Source organism: Homo sapiens, chromosome 3, assembly GCF_000001405.40.
Source record: "Homo sapiens chromosome 3, GRCh38.p14 Primary Assembly".
In the NCBI taxonomy this organism is placed as follows: Eukaryota; Metazoa; Chordata; class Mammalia; order Primates; family Hominidae; genus Homo; species Homo sapiens.
The window spans coordinates 126,159,969-126,177,733 of record NC_000003.12 but is presented as its reverse complement, the minus strand read 5'-3'; the positions used below and the strand labels follow the sequence as shown (position 1 = coordinate 126,177,733).

Genomic DNA, 17,765 nt, shown 5'->3' with positions numbered 1-17,765 from the left:
ATATCGATGCAATGTTATTAATGAAAGTCCATAATTTACATTAGAATTCCCTCTTGGTGTTGTACCTTCTATGGTTTTGGACAAACATATAATGATGAGTATCCAGTGTTACAGTATCATAGAGAATAGTTTCACTGCCCTAAAACTCTCCTGTGCTCTACCCATCCACCCCCCAACCCCCCTACCTATCCCTGGCAACCACTGGTTACTGCCTTTGTAGTTTTGCCTTTTCCAGAATGTCATATAGTATGTATGAATCATATGGTATATAGCCTTTCCAGACTGGCTTCTTTCGCTTAGCAAAATGCATTTAAGCATCCTCCATGTCTTTCTGTGACTTGGTAACCCATTTCTTTTTATCATTGACTAATATTCTGTTGTATGGATGTGGAGGTACCACAGTTTATTTCTCCATTCACATACTACAGGATATCTTGGTTGCTTCCAAGTTTTAGCAGTGAATAAAGCTGCTATCAACATTTGTGTGCAGGTTTTTGTGTGGACATTAGTTTTCTTCTCCTTTGAGTAAATATCAAGAGCGATTGATGGATCACATGGTAAAAGTATGTTTCGTGTTATAAAAAACTACCAAACCTTTTTCCATAGTGGTGGCATAATTTTTCATTTCTACCAGTAATAAATAAGAGTTCCTGTTGCTCCACAGCCTCATCAGCATTTGTTGTCAGTGCTCTTAATTTAACTCTTCTAATACGCATATAGTAGTATCTCATTGTTATATTTTAATTTGCAATCTGTAATGACTTACAGTGTTGAGCATCTTTTTAAATGCTTCTCTGCCATCTGTATATCTTCTTTTGTGAATGTCGGTTAATTTACTTGGCCCATTTTAAAATTGGGTTGTTTGTTTTACTGTTGAGTTTTAATAGTTCTTTGTATATTTTGGATAACAGTGCTTTACCAGATATGTCTTCTCTCCCCAACCATGGCTTGTCTTTTCATTCTCTTAACAGTGTCTTTTGCAGAGCAGAAGTTTTAAATTTTAATAAGGTCTAATGTACCATTTTTTTTCCTCCATGAATTGTGCTGTTGTTGTTGTATCTAAAAAGTCAAATCCAAGTTTTGGCAGTTACAAATAAAGATGCTGTAAACATCAGTGTACAGATATTTGTGTGATTTTTGTGCAATGCAGATTTTCTCCATTGTCTTGCCTTTGTCTCTTTGTCAAAGTTCAGTTGACTGTATTGATGTGAGTTTACTTCTGGGCTCTCTATTCTGTTCAATTGATCTATCTGACTATTCTTTTGCCAATACCGTACTGTCTTGATTACTGTAGCTTTATAGTAAAGTCTTGGGGACAGGCAGTATCGGTCCTCTAACTTCGTTCTCCTTCAATATTGTGTTGACTATCCCAGGTCTTTTGTCTCTCCAAATAAACTTGAGAATCAGTTTGTTGATATCCACAAATAACTGCTGGGGTTTTGATTGGGATTGCATTGAATCTATAGATAAAGTCGGAAAGAACTGACATCTGGACAGTATAGAGTTTCCCTACCCATGAACATGTACTATCTCTTCATTTATTTATACATATTTTTATGTTTTCATCAGTTATGGTTATTCTCACATAGATTTTGACCTATTTTAGGTTTATGTATAAATAATTCACTTTTTGGTGCTAATGTAAATGGTTTTGTGTTTTTAATCTCAAATTTCAATTGTTTATTGCTAGTATATAAGAAAGTAATCAATTTTTGTATATTAACCATGACTTTACATCCAGCAACTTTGGCAGAATAACTTATTATTTCCAGTTTTCTGTTGCTTTGTTGGCATTTTCCACATAGCCAATTATGTTTTTTGAGAACAAGAACAGTTTATTTCTTCCTTCCCAATCTGTAGACTTTTCATTTTCTTTTCTTTTCTAATTACATTAGCCAGCACTTCCAGTATAATGTTGACTAGGAAGGGTGAAAGGGAACATCCTTGCCTTATTTCTGATCTTAGGGGAAAAGCTTCTAGTTTCTCTCCATTAAGTATGATGTTAGCTGTAGGTTTTTCATAGATCTTCTTTATCAAGTTAAGTTCCCATTTATTACTAGCTTGCTGAAAGCTCTTATCATAAATGAATGTTAGATTCTTGTCAAATGCATTTTCTGGATCTATTGATGTGATCATATAATTCTTCCTTAGCCTATTCATGCGATGGATTACATTAATTGATTTTCAAATGTTTAACCTAGAATAAATCCCATGTGGTGGTTATGTATAATTCTTTTTAAACATTGTTGGATTCAATTGCTGATTTTTTTGAGGATTTTAACATCTATGTTTATGAGAAATATTGATCTGTTAGTTTCCTTTCTTGTAATGTTTCTGGTTTTGGTACCAGGGTAATTCTGACCCAAGAAAATTAGAGAATTTCCTCTACTTCTATTTTTTGAAAGAGATCATAGAGAATTGGCATAATTTCTTTCTTAAATGTTTAGTCATATTCATTAACCCTAGTGCTTTCTATTTTGGAAGGCTACTGGCTCCAGTTCTTTAATCAGTATAGGCCTATTCAGATTATCTATTTCTCTTTGTGTGAGTTTTGGAACGTTGTACTTTCAAGGGATTGTTTCATTTCATTTAACTTACCAAATTTGTTGATATAGAGTTGTTCATACTAGTATTTTATTATCCTTTTAATGACCGTAGGATCAGTATTGATGGCCCTTCTTTCATTTTTGATATTAGTAATTTGAGTCTTCTCTCTTTTTCTTCTTAGTTAACCTGGCTAGAGGTGTCTCAGTTTTATTCATCTTTTCAAGGAACCAGCTTTAGGTTTTGTTGATTTTCTCTATTGACAGCATGTTTTCAATTTCACAAGTTCTGCTGTAATTTTTATTATTTCCTTTCTTCTGTTTATTTTGGATTTAATTTGCTCTTCTTTTTCTAGTTTCCTAATTTGGAAACTTGCTTTTAGCTCTTTCTTCTTTAATAATATATGCATTCAGTGCTCTAAATTTCCCTCTAAACACTACTTTAGCAGCATCCCATAAATTTTGATGTTATATTTTCATTTTAATTTAGTTTGAAATATTTTAAATTTTTTCTTGAGAGTTATTCTTTGATTTGTTTACATGTTGTTTAGAAGTGTGTCATTTAGTTTCCATTTTTTTAATGTTTTTCAGATATCTTTCTGTTATTGATTTCTAGTGATTCTGTTGTGATCTCAGTAATCTCCATCATAGAAGTCATTGATATTTGTTGTTGTATGTTTTATGGCACAGAATGTGGTCTGTCTTGATGAATATTCCATGTGAACTTGAGAAGAATGTGTATTCTGTTGTTGTTGGGTGAAGTATTCTCTAAATGCCAATTAGATACACTTAATTGATGGTGCTGTTCAACTATGTCCTTACTGATTTCCAGCCTGCTGGATCTATCAGTTAGTGGGTACTGGCCAGGCACGGTGGCTTACGCCTGTAATACCAGCACTTTGGGAGGCCGAGGTGGGCAGATCACCTGAGGTCAGGAGTGCGAGACCAGCCTGACCAACATGGAGGCTCTACTAAAAATACAAAATTAGCCGGACGTGGTGGTGCATGCCTGTAATCCTAGCTACTCGGGCGGCTGAGGCAGGGGAATTGCTTGAACCCGGGAGGCGGAGGTTGCAGTGAGCCGAGATCGTGCCACTGCACTCCAGCCTGGGCAACAAGAGTGAAACTCCGCCCCCCCAAAAAAAACGTTAGTGGGGACTGACAGAGAGGTGTTGATGTCTCCAACTGTAATAATAGTGGATTCATCTATTTCTCCTTAAAATTCTGTCAGTTTTTGCTTTACACATTTTAGCACTGTTGTTAGGCACATACATATTAAGGAGTATTATGTCTGCTGGGATAATTGACTCCTTTACCATTATGTAGTGCTTCTCTTTATTCCTAATAATTTTCCTTTCTCTGAAGTCTGCTTTATCTGAAGTTAATAGAACTACTCCATATTTCTTTTGATTAGTGGTAGCACGGTATATCTTTCTCCATCCCTTTATTTGTAACCTATCTGGTTTTTATGTTGAAATGGGTTTGTTGTAGACAACATATAGTTAGGTCACGATTCTTTATTCACTCTAGATAGTCACATGTTTTAATTGGTATATTTACACCATTGATATTTGAAGTGATTTTTTGATATAGTTGGATTAATATTTACCATATTTATTACTGTTTTCTATTTGCCCTTTGTTTCTTTTTTCTTCCACACTTTTTTCTGCCTTTTCTGATCTTAACTGAGCATTTTATATGATTCCATTTTCTTTTCTCTCTTAGCATATCAGTTTTACTTTTTTGTTGTTGCTTTTTTAGTGGTTGACCTACAGTTTGCAATATACACTTAAATCTAATTTAAGTCTGCTTTTGAATAACACTATACAACTTTATGGGTAGTGTAAGGGCCTTATTGCAGAGTATTCTTGATTCCTCCCTCCCATGCCTTATTATTACTGCTATCATTCATTTCACTTATCCATAAGCTACAATCACTGAATACATTGTTGCAATTATTATTTTGAACAAATTGTTATCTCTCAGATTAAGAATAAGAAAAAAAATTATTTCACATTTATTTCTAATACTCTTTTGTATGTTGAGTTTCTGACTTGTTTAATTTTCCTTTTTTTCTGAATTACTTCTTTTAACATATCTTGTAAGGCAGTTTACTGGTGACAAATTCCTTCAATTTTTGTTTGAGAAGTCTTTCTCCTCCACTTTTGAAGGACAATTTTACTGCATACAGATGGAATCTAGTTAGTTCTAAGTTGATGGAATGTTTTCAGTTCTTTAAATAATTCTTTCTATTCTATTCCTGATTGCATGGTTTATGAAGAGACGTTTGATGTAATCCTCATCTCTCTCCCTCTATAGGTAAGGTGTCCTGCCCTGCCTCTCCCTGGCTTCACTGAAGATTATCTCTGTGTCTTTTATTTTTTGCAGTTTGAATATGATATGCCTAAGTATAGATTTTTTGGGGGGTGGGGGGTGATCTTTATCCTATTTGGTTTCCTCTGAGCTGCTTGGATCTTGGTTTGGTATCTGTCTTTAATTTTGGAAAATTATCAGTCATTATCACTTCAAACATTTTTACTATTCCTTTCTTTCTTTTTATTCCATCTGATATCCCTATTACAAGGATTTACACCTATGGCAATTGTCCCACCATTCTTGGATATTCTGTTTTGTCTTTTTTATTCTATATTTCCCTTTGCATTTCAGTTTGGGAAGTGTTTGTTGATATTTCATCCATCTCATTGATTATTTCCTCAACTGTATCCAGTCTATTGATAAACCTATTAAAGACATTCTTTGCATTTATCACAGGGTTTTTATTTCTAGACTTTTTTTGATTTTTTTCTTAATTTCCATCTCTCTGCTTACATGACCAATTTGTTCTTATATGTTCTCCACATTTTTCCATTAGAGCTCTTAGCATTTTAATTATCATTGTTTTAAATTTTCCATCTGAAAATTCCAACATTGCTTCCATATCTGATTGTGGTTTAGGTGCTTGTTTCATCTTTGCAAACTGTGTTTTTGTCTTTTATATATCTTGTAATTGTTTTGCAGAAAATCAGATATAATGTATTGGGTAAAAGGTACTGAGGTAGATAGGCTTTTAGTGTGAGGTTTGATATTTACCTGTCTAGGAGTTAGAATGTGTTTACTATTTGCTATAGCTGTGGGTATCAGAGGATATAATTTTCTCTCTTCATCTTCTTGTTTTTGTCTACCCTGTTGTCTTTGGGTTTTTGTAGAAACTCCTTAAATAGGCTCTGGCTTGCAGTTCTCTTATCCGTAATCCCCTTGTTACTATACTGGAGCCCTGTGGATGTAGTAGCAAGGTGTTTTGGTGGGGGGAAGTGTTTTACAGTCCTACAATTAGGTCTTAGTGTTTCAGTGAGCCTGCACCCCTGGGCTGTGACCTTCACAAGTGTTTCTCAGTCCTACCCCTTTTAGGTGATGAGAAAGGCTAGAGGGGCTGGATTTGGGTTTTTCCTCATCACTTAGGTTAGTTAGGCCCTGGGTGTCCATTCACTTAGGCTCTGGTATAATAGTTTCTATGAGGGTAGATATGTTGAGAAAAAAATGACTGCTTTCCTTGCCTCCTGCCAAAACCAGAAGGGGATTTTTCTCCAATCCTTACTGTGAGAACTGTAAGAATTAAAGAAAGAGGAAAGAAATACAAAAGCTGGCTTGCCAGTTAAGACATTTATTTTAGAGAAAATCAACCTGAAAGGAGCCTTCTGGCCAAGTTAGGTCAGAGGCACACTCTCTTACAGACTGAGTTTTTAAGGATTCAGGATGGGAGAGTTTATCAGAGGCTTGGACTGCTTCTGTGTCTCTTTGTTGTGCTTATCTGGGAGGGAGAGTTGTGTGCCTGTTTTCATACATTTTTCCTGCAGCTGCAGGTATAGTCCCTGAGTCTGTTTTTACTTATTTATTGAGACAGAGTCTCGCTCTGTCGCTAGGCCGGAGTGCAGTGGCGCCATCTCGGCTCACTGCAACCTCTGCTTCCCAGGTTCAAGCGATTTTCCTGCCTCAGCCTCCTGAGTAGATGGGACTACAGGCATGCGCCACCACGCCTGGCTAATTTTTTGTAGTTTTAGTAGAGACGGGGTTTCACCGTGTTAGCCAGGATGGTCTTGATCTCCTTACCTCGTGATCCGCCCGCCTCGGCCTCCCAAAGTGCTGGGATTACAGGCATGAGCCACCGCGCCCAGCCAAGAGTCTGCTTTTAGCTTTCCTGTCTTAGTGCCCCTGAAGGAAAGGGAATGTGCTTGTTCCTTATTATTAAGGCCCACTGTTTTACTGGGGCCCATCGTATGAGGGTGAAGTTTGGCAGTTACCCAAGATACTTTCCCCCCACCTCCCTTTGTGTCCCAGCTGTCTTATCCGTGTTTTACTGTCTGCTCTTTCTGGCTGCTTGTAGTTAGAAGAGAAGTGATTTCCTTGAAATGCATGAGGCTAGAAAGGGAGCTGGAATTTAAAGTGGCGGTGTTTGTCTGAGATGACAGTACTCCTGCTCTATCATTCCAGACCCTATGGTTATAAAAGGACAAGAGGGGACATGTTCTTTCTAGCTACTTCCTGCTGATGCGGGGGTGGAGAGTTTTTTGGTCTTAGATTGACTGTAGGATCAACACCATTTGTAGATGTTTTTGGGTAGTTGCGAAATGGCCATGATTCTGTCGGTTAAAAATTTTTGATAAAGGTTAATTAGGCAGAGTAAAAACATTAGTCCTAGGCTTTTCAGCAGCATTTTTTATTAGGCCCGACTGGTTGAGACAGAAGTAACTTTTTTTTTTTTTTTTTTTAATGACAGGCAGAGGTGCATGTTTGGAAAGACCCATGTGTTATTTTTTGTTAGTAACTGTTATTCCTGCTATGAGGATAATAATTAAGCAAAATGCTACAGTAATTGAGATTCTCTGTCAGATATTCCACTCTGAGGGTTCACAGTCCTACTGCAAATAGTAGAGTGAGTACAGCAGTTCCCGCGAGGGTGTCATAGTAAATAATTTTCATTAAAAAAGGTTTTAATAGTTGGCTTAAAAGGAGAAGTAGAAACGACAAAAAGTATTTGGTGAGGTGGGGTTGAGACTGAGTAAGATGAGCAATTTTTACTTAGTTACTTAACTTTTATGATTTTTAGCTTAAGATTTCTTATTTATTTTTTTACATGAATAGGACTTTTTTTGGACTGTTAGGGGTTGCTTTCTCAGCTCTTTAGGCTTTGACTTGAATATGATGTATCCAGGAGTTGATTTCTGTAACGGATATAATTTAAACTGTAAAAGATAATAAAAATTGAAAAATGTTAGGCAAGACTAGAATTTAACAACAGGTGTGCTATAGTTTTTGAAACATAATTTTTACTTTTCAGTTTCCTATTTTTATTAAAAGAATTTATGATAGGACTGATTTGCTTTATTATACTTGGCTTAATTATTTGTATACAGTGCAGCAATAATAATTATTTGCTACATAGGCCTTTTAAATCAGCTTTGATGGAACTTTGTTACATAGAAGGAATTTGAGATAAGAGTTGTTAAAGCCAAGCCCAGCCATGGATTTGTACCATTAAATACTTATGAGTTGGGTGAATTCCTTTTCTTTTGAGGTTTTAAGATAACTTGGGGTTCCTGGCCTGTCAGAAAGTGACATTCTTTACTTACCACACATCAGAAACCCTGTACAGGGACTGTGCACACAAAATATGAGGCCAGTTTTCCAAGGGTTTCATTGGCTTCTTAAGTTTGATTCCTTAGAGGAGAGCACACCATTCCAGTCAAAGCCTTGGGAAAATAACCAGTTTTTCCAATTGTATTCTGTTACAAAAGAAAATAGATTCTTATTGCACTGATGCAAACAACTGTAGTGTTGTCCTTTAAGAATGCTTATAACTAGTTTTTAAATTCTAGAGGAACTAGGCAAAGAGAAAAAAACACGCTTTAAATTCTATTTACAGGAGTATACTTTACTTAGTTGTTAGAAGCTGTAGCTAGCTTAAGACAAGTTTTCTTGACTCTGAAAAATAAGATAAAGATTAGCAGCATTCTAAGGAAAAGGTAAAAACTTGTTTTTGTTTTTTATTAGTTTAGTGCATTTTATTAATTTTTGTTTTGCTTGATATTTATAAACATTTTAGCTTTTTGTGAGTTCTGCATGTTTTGTTGTTGTTGTTGCTGTTGTGAGAAACCTGCCTTTGAGAGCGCTTGTTAAAGTTTCACAGCTTGAATATAAACCACGTTTTGAAGATAATTCAAACAAAATAAAAATTGTCTGTAAATAACAAAATGTCTAGTTTGGATACTGTTAGAAACACAATTGACAAAGAAATGTGGTTGTTTTTGTGGTTTACAATAACCCAACATAACAACTTTAAGTGTGATTAATAGCACATATTTAGACATAAGAACCTTAGACATCCCATACAGTTTTGGAACATATGTTAGTATTATTCCTTAGAATATAACCTATTAGACAGTCTTTTGGAAATTTTATGTTGCTAAATAATTCTGTTTACCTCTTTTTGGATGGTTTAGGGGTTTTGTGCAGCACCGAAAAGCCAGGGGTTAGGAAAGACAACCTCGAGACTAAAGTTTGATTTGGGGAAGACTGTTAAATATGTTTAAAATTTAAAACCCTCGATATTATGAAATAGAATTTTAGATTACCGTTAAGTTTTTTTCTGTTTGTTTTGTTTTGCTAAAATGATGAGATAACAATCTGGAAAAGCAAAAACCATTTATTAGCCTTTTGTATTACAGGAAAATTTTGTTTAAGAGAGAAAGTTAAATTTTACCCTTTCATTAGTTTGCTATTAATGTTAACTTTAATTTTAATGAAACCTTATAGATAATTTTATTTAATTTTAATGAGTTTGACTATGAAGTGAGATTTTTATATGCCCATTATAACCCTTGACAAGTTTTGCTAAAGAGTAGATTAGCATTTTAAGAAAATCTTGTGGTGCTTTTATTTTAGTGTTTAATTTACAGAAAAAAAGCATATAATACTCTTTTGAGTTTAGTTAATGTGTTAACACACAAGAGTTTTATTTGCAGAATTAATTTTTATGATGTTTTTACAATTTGCCTAAACCTTTCACTTTATTTTATTTAATTTTAAGACAATTTATTATTCTTCAGCAAAATGTACATTTTTATGCCTTTTTATAATTTTTAACTAAAAACACTTTTTACTGTTTTTATACACCTTGCATGCAAATCCATGTTTAGCAGTTTTAATTACATGTTATAATGATAACTTTTAGCAATTTTTAACTTTAAGGTAAAATGTGTTAAGTTTTTTTGTGTGTGACTTGAAACTAAAAACACTGACTCATTTTGTAATTTGGGCGAAGTAGCTCTGAAATATAATGCTGTTTTTTCAATTTTAAACACTTGGGTAAAATCGCAAGGTGAGTGCTTAGGTAGAAATAAGTAACTACTGAACAGGTGGGAGCAAAGTTTAGTTGGGCAATACTCTTTATGATACCGACATGTGAATGCTTACTAGTTTTAAAAGTGCTGGCTTTATTGTTGTAGTCACAGAGGAGTCTAAAGGCAAGGCTGGGTAGCTTCTGGCTCCCACGTTAACATTATTTATTTAGTATGCCAGATTTTTCTTAAGGTGCACTAGCCACTGAGGATATTTTTGCTGGTGGGAACTGAGATTTTCTAGACAGGTAAATTAGCTGCCAATTATGGTTTATCTTAGGGACATGTTTATAGAGATAGTATTCTTACTTAGCTTGCATTCTAAATTTTGTTCCCTTATTATCTTGTTAAAGCGATGAATATGTTTGTACAATGAAGACAACTTTTTTTGCCTTTTTAGGTTAGAGCTTCAGCATGAGAATTATACTTCAACACAGAAAGTTAGGTCTATAAGTGAAATATAATAAAGTGTTCTGAAAAGAAGGAGACTACCTTACAACCCCAAGAGAAAAATATGCGGCACTAAGCCCTGGTTCCTTTTTTCCTTATTGTTTTGTCATTTTTTTAGAACTTTGGGAACTAAAATCTTTTTGCTTAAATGCTGAATTTATAAATTGAAACAGACTCTTGGGTTTTGTTATAAAGGCAACGTAATAATACTTCTATGTATTTTATAGGCTTATATAGTATAATAACTTGAATTTATGGTTGGATTTGACTGAACCTACGTAGATACTAATCTGAATGACTCATATACAGAAAATGTGCAGTATTTTAAGTATAAAAAATTAAACTGGACTAGTTTGCTTTTGTTTTATAGTATAAATGAAAATGACCCAAACTATTTAATTGTATGAGCAGAAATTATGAATGAAAGATGTATTTTAGAGCTATATGACAGAGGGGCATTTTAACTTGAATTCCCCAGTGGCAAAAGTAGTGTATAAACTAATGCTAGTGTATACACTACTGAAGTGCCAACTTATGTAACATTTTTAAATTTAATTTTTAAAATGAAAGATTTTTTTTTCACTGTGAAGGGCAGTAACATTAAATTTTCCCAGTGGGTATGAGTGAATGATTTACTTAGTACATTGATATACTTAACTATTAGCATTTTTGGGAAGCTGGATTTGATACAAATTTATTTTGAAAAACATGGTTTATGAAATTTTATAATAAAATTATTAATAAAGACATTGTTAAGTTTCTATAAACATGCACTAAAAGTGGCAAGACAGAGTGGAGAAATGTAATTTTGGCTGAGAAAAAAACTTTTTTCAGGAAAACAAGATTTATGAAGAGAAAAACATAAAGGACTTTTGAATATACTTTCTTGGATATCCATTTTAATTAAGCTGAGCACTCTTTTTTATTAAAGGTAAGGGTGGATTTTGGAATTATATAAATGTTATGCCAAGTTAAATGAAAGGATTGAGTTATATGCAGGAATTCCCTGTGATAATGAGAGGGATTTTTAGAGAAAGATCCCAGAAGCTGTTCTATCTGCCACAAATCAGACATGGAGAAGGGGACATGAACGTGAGCAATGCCTTTAACCCTGGCCACTTCCCGGAGAGGGAGAATGGCAGGGGAGGTTTGACTGGTTGGAGCAGTTTTTGAACCGGTGGAGAAGGACGAGGGGTGCGGTTTAAAGTAGAAGAAACCCTGAATATGGGGAACCTATTGCCAGAATCTCTGAGATACAGCTAAAGCAGTGTTAAGAGGAAAGTTTCTAGCACTAAATGGCTTCATCGAGAAGATAGAAAGATCTCAAATTAACAAACTAACTTCACCTAAAGGAACTAGAAAAAAAGAACAAACCAACCCCAAAGCCAGTCAAAGAAAAGAAGTAAAAATTAGAGAACTGAATGAAATTGAGATGCAAAAATCCATACAAAAGATCAATGAAATCAAGAGTTGGTTTTTCAAAAAAATAAAAATAAACAAGATCATTAGACCACTAGCTACATTAACACACAAAAAGAGAAGATCCAAATAAGTATAGTCAAAAATGGCAAAGATGACATTACAACCAATCCACAGAAATTAGAAAAGATTCTTAGAGAATACTGTGAACAAATATATGCACACAAATGAGAAAATCTAAAGGAAATGGATAAATTCCTAGAAACACACAATCTCCCAAGACTAAAGTAGGAAAAGATTGAAATGCTGAATAGACCAATATTGAGCTCTGAAACTGAATCAGTAATGAAAACAACTACCAACCAAGGAAAGCTCAGGGCCAGATGGATTCACACTGAATTATACCAGACATACAAAGAAGTAATGACACCAATCCTATTGAAAGTATTACAAAAAAATTGAAAAGGAGGGGATCCTACCTGACTCATTCTGTGAAGCCAGCATCTGCCTAATACCAAAATCTGGCAGAGACATAACAAAAAAAGAAAACTTCAGGCCAATATCCCCGATGAACATAGACACAAAAATCCTCAACAAAATACTAGCAAACCAAATCCAGCAGCACATCAAAAAGTTAATATACTGTGCTTAAGTGGGCTTTATTCTTGGGATGCAAGGCTGGTTTAACATACACAAATCAATAAATGTGATTCACCACATAAACAGAATTAAAAGCAAAAACTATATGATCATCTCAATAGATACAGAAAAAGCTTTGGATAAAATCCAACATCCCTTCCATAAGCGAAAAACAAATAACCCCATTAAAAAATGGGCAAAGGACATGAACAGACACTTCCCAAAAAAACACGTACAAGCAGCCAACAAATGAGGAACATTTCAATATGTTCCTCATCACTAATTAAAATGAGGAAAATTTTAATATGTTCCTCATCACTAATCATTAGAGAAATGCAAATCAAAATCACAATGAGATACCATCTTACACTGGTCAGAATGGCTATTACTAAAAAGTCAATAACAGTGCTGGTGAGGCTATAGAGAAAACAACGCTTATACACTGTTGGTGGGAATGTAAATTAGTTCAGCCACTGTGGAAGTTTCTTAAAGAAAAGTTTAGAGATTTCTTAAAGAACTTAGAACTACCATCCAACCCAGCAATCCCATTACTGGGTATATACCCAAAGGAAAATAGATCATTATATGAAAAAGACACATGCGCTTGTATGTTCGTCGTTGGACTATTCACAACAGCAGTGACAGGGAATCAACTTAGGTGCCCAACAATGGTGGATTGGATAAATAAAATGTACATATACACCATGGAATATTACACAACCATAAAAAGGAGTGAAAGCATGTCTTTTGCAGCAACATGGGTGGACTAGAGGCCGTAATCCTAAGTGAATTAAGGCATAAACAGAAAACCAGATACTGCACGTTCTCACTTGTAAGTGGGAGCTCAACATTGAGCACACATGCACATAAAATGGGAACAACAGACACTGCAGACTGCTAGAGGGAGTACGGGAATGGGTTGAAAAAACTCCGTTGGGTACTGTGCTTACTACCTGGGTGCAATATGTTCATATATCAAACCTGCACCTGCACCCCCTGTTTCTAAAATAAAAGTTGAAAGAAAGAGAAAGCTACACCAAAACCTGAATAGGACATTTGTTACAATGAAGTATTTGACACATCAATATTTCTTTTCTTCTTTTCTGCCTCACCCTGCCCTGCCCCGCCCTACCTTGCCTTGCCTTGCCTTTTTTTTTTGAGACATAGTCTCACTCTGTTGCCCAGGCTGGAGTGCAGTGGTAGGGTCTCAGCTCACTCTAGCCTAGACCTCCCAGACTCAAGTGATTCTCATGCCTCAGCCTCCCAAGTAGCTGGGACTACAGGCACGTACTACCATGTCCAGCTATTGTTTGTTTTTGCAGAGATGGGGTCTCACTATGTTGCCCAGGATGGTCTTGAACTCCTGGCCTCTAGCAATCTGCCCACCTCAGCCTCCCAACGTGCTGGGGTTGCAGTCATGAGCGACTGGGACTGGTTCATGTCAATATTTCTTACAAGCATAGATTTAAAAACAAATAAAATACCAGCTCTTCAAATTCAGAGATATATAGAAAGGTTATACATCATGGTCAAGTGGTATTCATTCCAAGAATGCAAAGGTGGCTTAACATTTAAAAATCAATCATTATGATCCACCACAATAAAATAAAAATCTCATGACCTATAGGAAGAACATTTGGTAAAAGTCAACTCCTTGTCATGATTGGCAGCCAGAAATATATTAATAAGACAACTTTCATAATATGCTAGTCTATCTACCAAAATTCCCCAAAGCTAACCAATGGTCAAATATTGAATGGTTTCTTCCCAAGGTCACAGGAATGAGACAGGAACTACTATCACCATCTGTATTCAATATTGTAGTGGATATATTGGCAAGTGCTATAAGAAAGTAAATGAAATGAAAGACTTCAGGATTAGAAAGAAAGAATTAAAACCAACATCATAACATGATTTTATACTTAGAAAACCACAAAGAATCTACACAGTATGAAAATTTATATGTGAAGCAATTAAGGTGCTAGTTAATACAACGTCAGTGTACAAAATCAATTGTATTTCTATATGCTAGCAACAAAAAAGACAAACCAATTTTTAAAATGGGTCAAAACTCGAATAAACATTGCTCCAAAGAAGGTATACAAATGGCCAAAAAGCACATGAAAAGATGTTTAACATCATGATTCAATAGGAAAATACAAATCAAAACCACAATGAAATACCACTTCACAACTACTAGGTAGATCAGCTACAATAAAGCTTTAGGTTATGTATCTTCACCACTACAACAAAAAACATTTTTAAGCTATACTAAATGCAAAGATAGACAAACTGACTAAAGTTTCAAAGATAGATGTGTACATGTATGATCCTTTTCAATGAAGAAACGTCTTTTCAGTAACTAGTGCTGGGTTAATTTTATATGCAGATGGAAAAAAAATTCTGGACTTCTACCTTATATTGTATGAAAAAATCAGTTCCAGAGGGATTGCACATCTAATGTAAAAGGCAAAACAATAAAGATCTTGAATGACAAGGAGAACATCTTCATGAAGTTGGAGTAGGCAAAGATTTTTTAAATAGAATACAAGAACCACTAAACATAAAGGAAATGTTTGATAAAATGTACTATATTAAGTTTAAGAACATCTGTTCATCAAAAGACATTATACGAGGATGAAAAAGGCAAGCCACAGAATTAGGGAAGATATTTTCCATACACATATCTGACAAAGAGCTCAAAGTCTAGATGATTAAAAAACAAAACAGAGCAACAATACAAAAAAACTCCTTTTCAATAAGAATAAAACCACCCAATGGAAAAAAACAGACAAAAGATTTGAAGAGATGATTCCCACAAAAGGATATCCAAATAGCCAAGAAACAGGAAAAGGCATTCGACTTCATTGGTCATCAGGGAATTGCAAATTAAACCCCAATGAGACAGCTGTATTTCATGTTAGGAAAAGCGCTAAAATGAAGACACAAGCCAAAGTGGAGAGCACATGGAAGTGGAAACTAATACAACCACTCTGGAAAACTGGCAGCGTCTGTTAAAGCTGGAAATTTTCACACCTATGACCCAGGAATTCCACCCTAAGTACACACCTGACAGAGATGTGTACATGTGTACCATGAAGACCATGTGCAAGTATCTTTGTAGCATCCTATTTGTAATACCTTTAAACTGGTAACTACCCAAATTCCATTAACAATAGAATGAATAAATGAACTAGAGGTCATCCACATATCAAAATACTCTGCAGCAATGAGAATAAACTCAGTACAACTACATGCAACCACAAAGATAATGTTGAGGGAGAAAATCTACAAAACACTGCATGGTTCCATTTATGTAAAATGAATACATATAAAGGGGATATATATATATATCAAGCGAAACCATTCGATGCTGTTAGAAGTCCCATCATTCTTGGTGAATGTAGTGACTAGAAGAGGCTCAAAGAGTTCCTGGAGTTTTTCTCTTTCTGGTGGTGTTGACAGTGGTGTGTTTGGTTTGTGAAATTCATTGAGCTACACATCTATGATTTGTGCACTTTCTGTATGTATGAAGTACACATTACTTTAATAAAATTTTCCAAAATAAAATCTTATTTTCGTAAAAGGACAATTTAAAGAACTGTATTAAGTGAATAATAGTTCAGGTTTTACAGATATGCGTGAGGTGAATGAATGACCAATCTTTGGAGAATGTGCATGATTAGCTAGGCTTCATTCTACACATCTTCCTTAGTGGAATCCCATTCCACTTTCCACCACCTTCATCCTCAGGCGCCCCCACGCAGGCCCCTTTTCTGTTGCAGCTCAGCTGGACAGCCCCTTCGGCGGGGACTCCCCTTGCTCCTTTTGTGACTCCTGGCTCAGAGGAATAAGCCTAATTTGTAGGCTGAAAGCCATTTGAGAGATGTGGCATCTTTCTCATGAACAAGTGTGACTTGACCAAGGCCATAGAACTGGTTAGTTACAGAAATATGCTCAAATACATATCAAACATCTTGACACCCAACATTCCATGCCAGTTTGGAAGGTTTCAAAAAGAAATCCCCTAATTCTACAATCCATTTCCAGCTCACCTGCTGTCGCATTGAATATTCTGACATTAGGGATCCATTGGGTCATGTGTACATGTTTCATCTGGTCTCTCTTACAGTGGCAGTCTCCCCTCAGTGGCCTGCCACCCACAGAGCCACAGAGGGGACTGGGGTAGAGCAGGCCAGGTGCCATGAACTGCCCTGTCTTGAACCAGGGCTGGCTTCTCTGAGACCAGCGATCTCTGTCTAATTGCTGCCTTATTCCTTCTCCAGGTCCTTCCAACCCTCCTGCTACCATGAAGATTGCAGTGATTGGACAGAGCCTGTTTGGCCAGGAAGTTTACTGCCACCTGAGGAAGGAGGGCCACGAAGTGGTGGGTGTGTTCACTGTTCCAGACAAGGATGGAAAGGCCGACCCCCTGGGTGAGTGAGCCAATGGAGCAGGGAAGCTGATGGAGGGCGGCCCGCCCATCCAGGTAGAAGGGAAGCAGTAGGTGGGAGTCTGGGAGCAGAAGTCTGCAGGGCCTGTGCTCTAGCTGGGAGGCAGCCATAAGTGGTCTACCTTGAATCCTGCTCCAGTGCCAACAGGCTGCTGGGCTTTTCTGGAATAAATTGGAGATCCCCTCCCCACCTGATCATGGGGTGGCATTAGGGTCCTGGAGAAGGGCTATAGAGAAGCCCAGCCTGGTCCCAGGTCCCACACAGAGCTTCTCTGACCCAGCACCCATGATTGGGAAGGTCTCCATGTTCTGAACTGGGGGTCCATATTCTGAAAGGTGGGCATGCGCGGCATCACCATTGCTGGGGCTGCCGTCAAAACACATAGTGCTCTACTTACCCATCAGGGGAGAGACCATGATCACAAAGGTGGTTTTCCCAGGGCGAGTCTTCTCCATTGTACTCTGGATGTGCTGATCCCTGCAATTTCCCCAAAGGTGGGAAACTCGACTTCATAATTTGTGGTAATGGGGAACTGCATTTGCACTCTCCCCTGGCATTTTGTAAAAGAAAAGAAAAAAACACAGAGAGTACTAAGCGCACCCTGAGAGTTTCGGATTCAGAATGAGGTGGAAAAGTCAGAATTAGGTGAAATTGTTAACCTGGGACAAGTTCCTGGGAGATACTGGCATCTCTTGTACTAGGAAAAGCACGTTTTGAGAATCATGGGTCTGGGTCACTGCCTTTGAGCTGGGAACCTCAGCAGACAGGATGCAGGGGCCTCAGCTTGGATGAACAGACCCTCTAGGAACACTGACTGGTCCTTCTCAGGCCTGATGGAGACAGACTGTGGGGCAGGGCTTAAGGAT

The 17,765-nt window shown here is 36.4% G+C and overlaps 1 protein-coding gene, 1 long non-coding RNA gene and 1 pseudogene across 10 annotated transcripts in view; 2 read left to right on the top strand and 1 right to left on the bottom strand.

The window, feature by feature from the left end:
• Window positions 1–17,765, top strand: part of ALDH1L1 (aldehyde dehydrogenase 1 family member L1) — a 94,376-nt gene that overhangs the window by 20,212 nt on the left and 56,399 nt on the right. For all 9 annotated transcript variants that reach the window (NR_072979.2, XM_024453325.2, XM_011512355.2 and 6 more), the window contains exon 2: window positions 16,732–16,881. Coding sequence is in view for 8 of the 9 variants with exons in the window: in XM_017005613.3 (XP_016861102.1) it covers window positions 16,732–16,881 (150 nt within the window). In the remaining variant the exon portion in view is untranslated. The remainder of the gene's footprint in view (window positions 1–16,731; window positions 16,882–17,765) is intronic.
• LOC105374083 (uncharacterized) lies at window positions 8,237–17,651 on the bottom strand. Its single transcript, XR_007096056.1, has 3 exons — window positions 17,559–17,651; window positions 17,297–17,449; window positions 8,237–8,323 (listed from the first exon to the last, which is right to left on the bottom strand). It is a non-coding gene; the product is annotated as an uncharacterized LOC105374083 (long non-coding RNA).
• RNU1-30P (RNA, U1 small nuclear 30, pseudogene) lies at window positions 17,289–17,451 on the top strand (annotated as a pseudogene).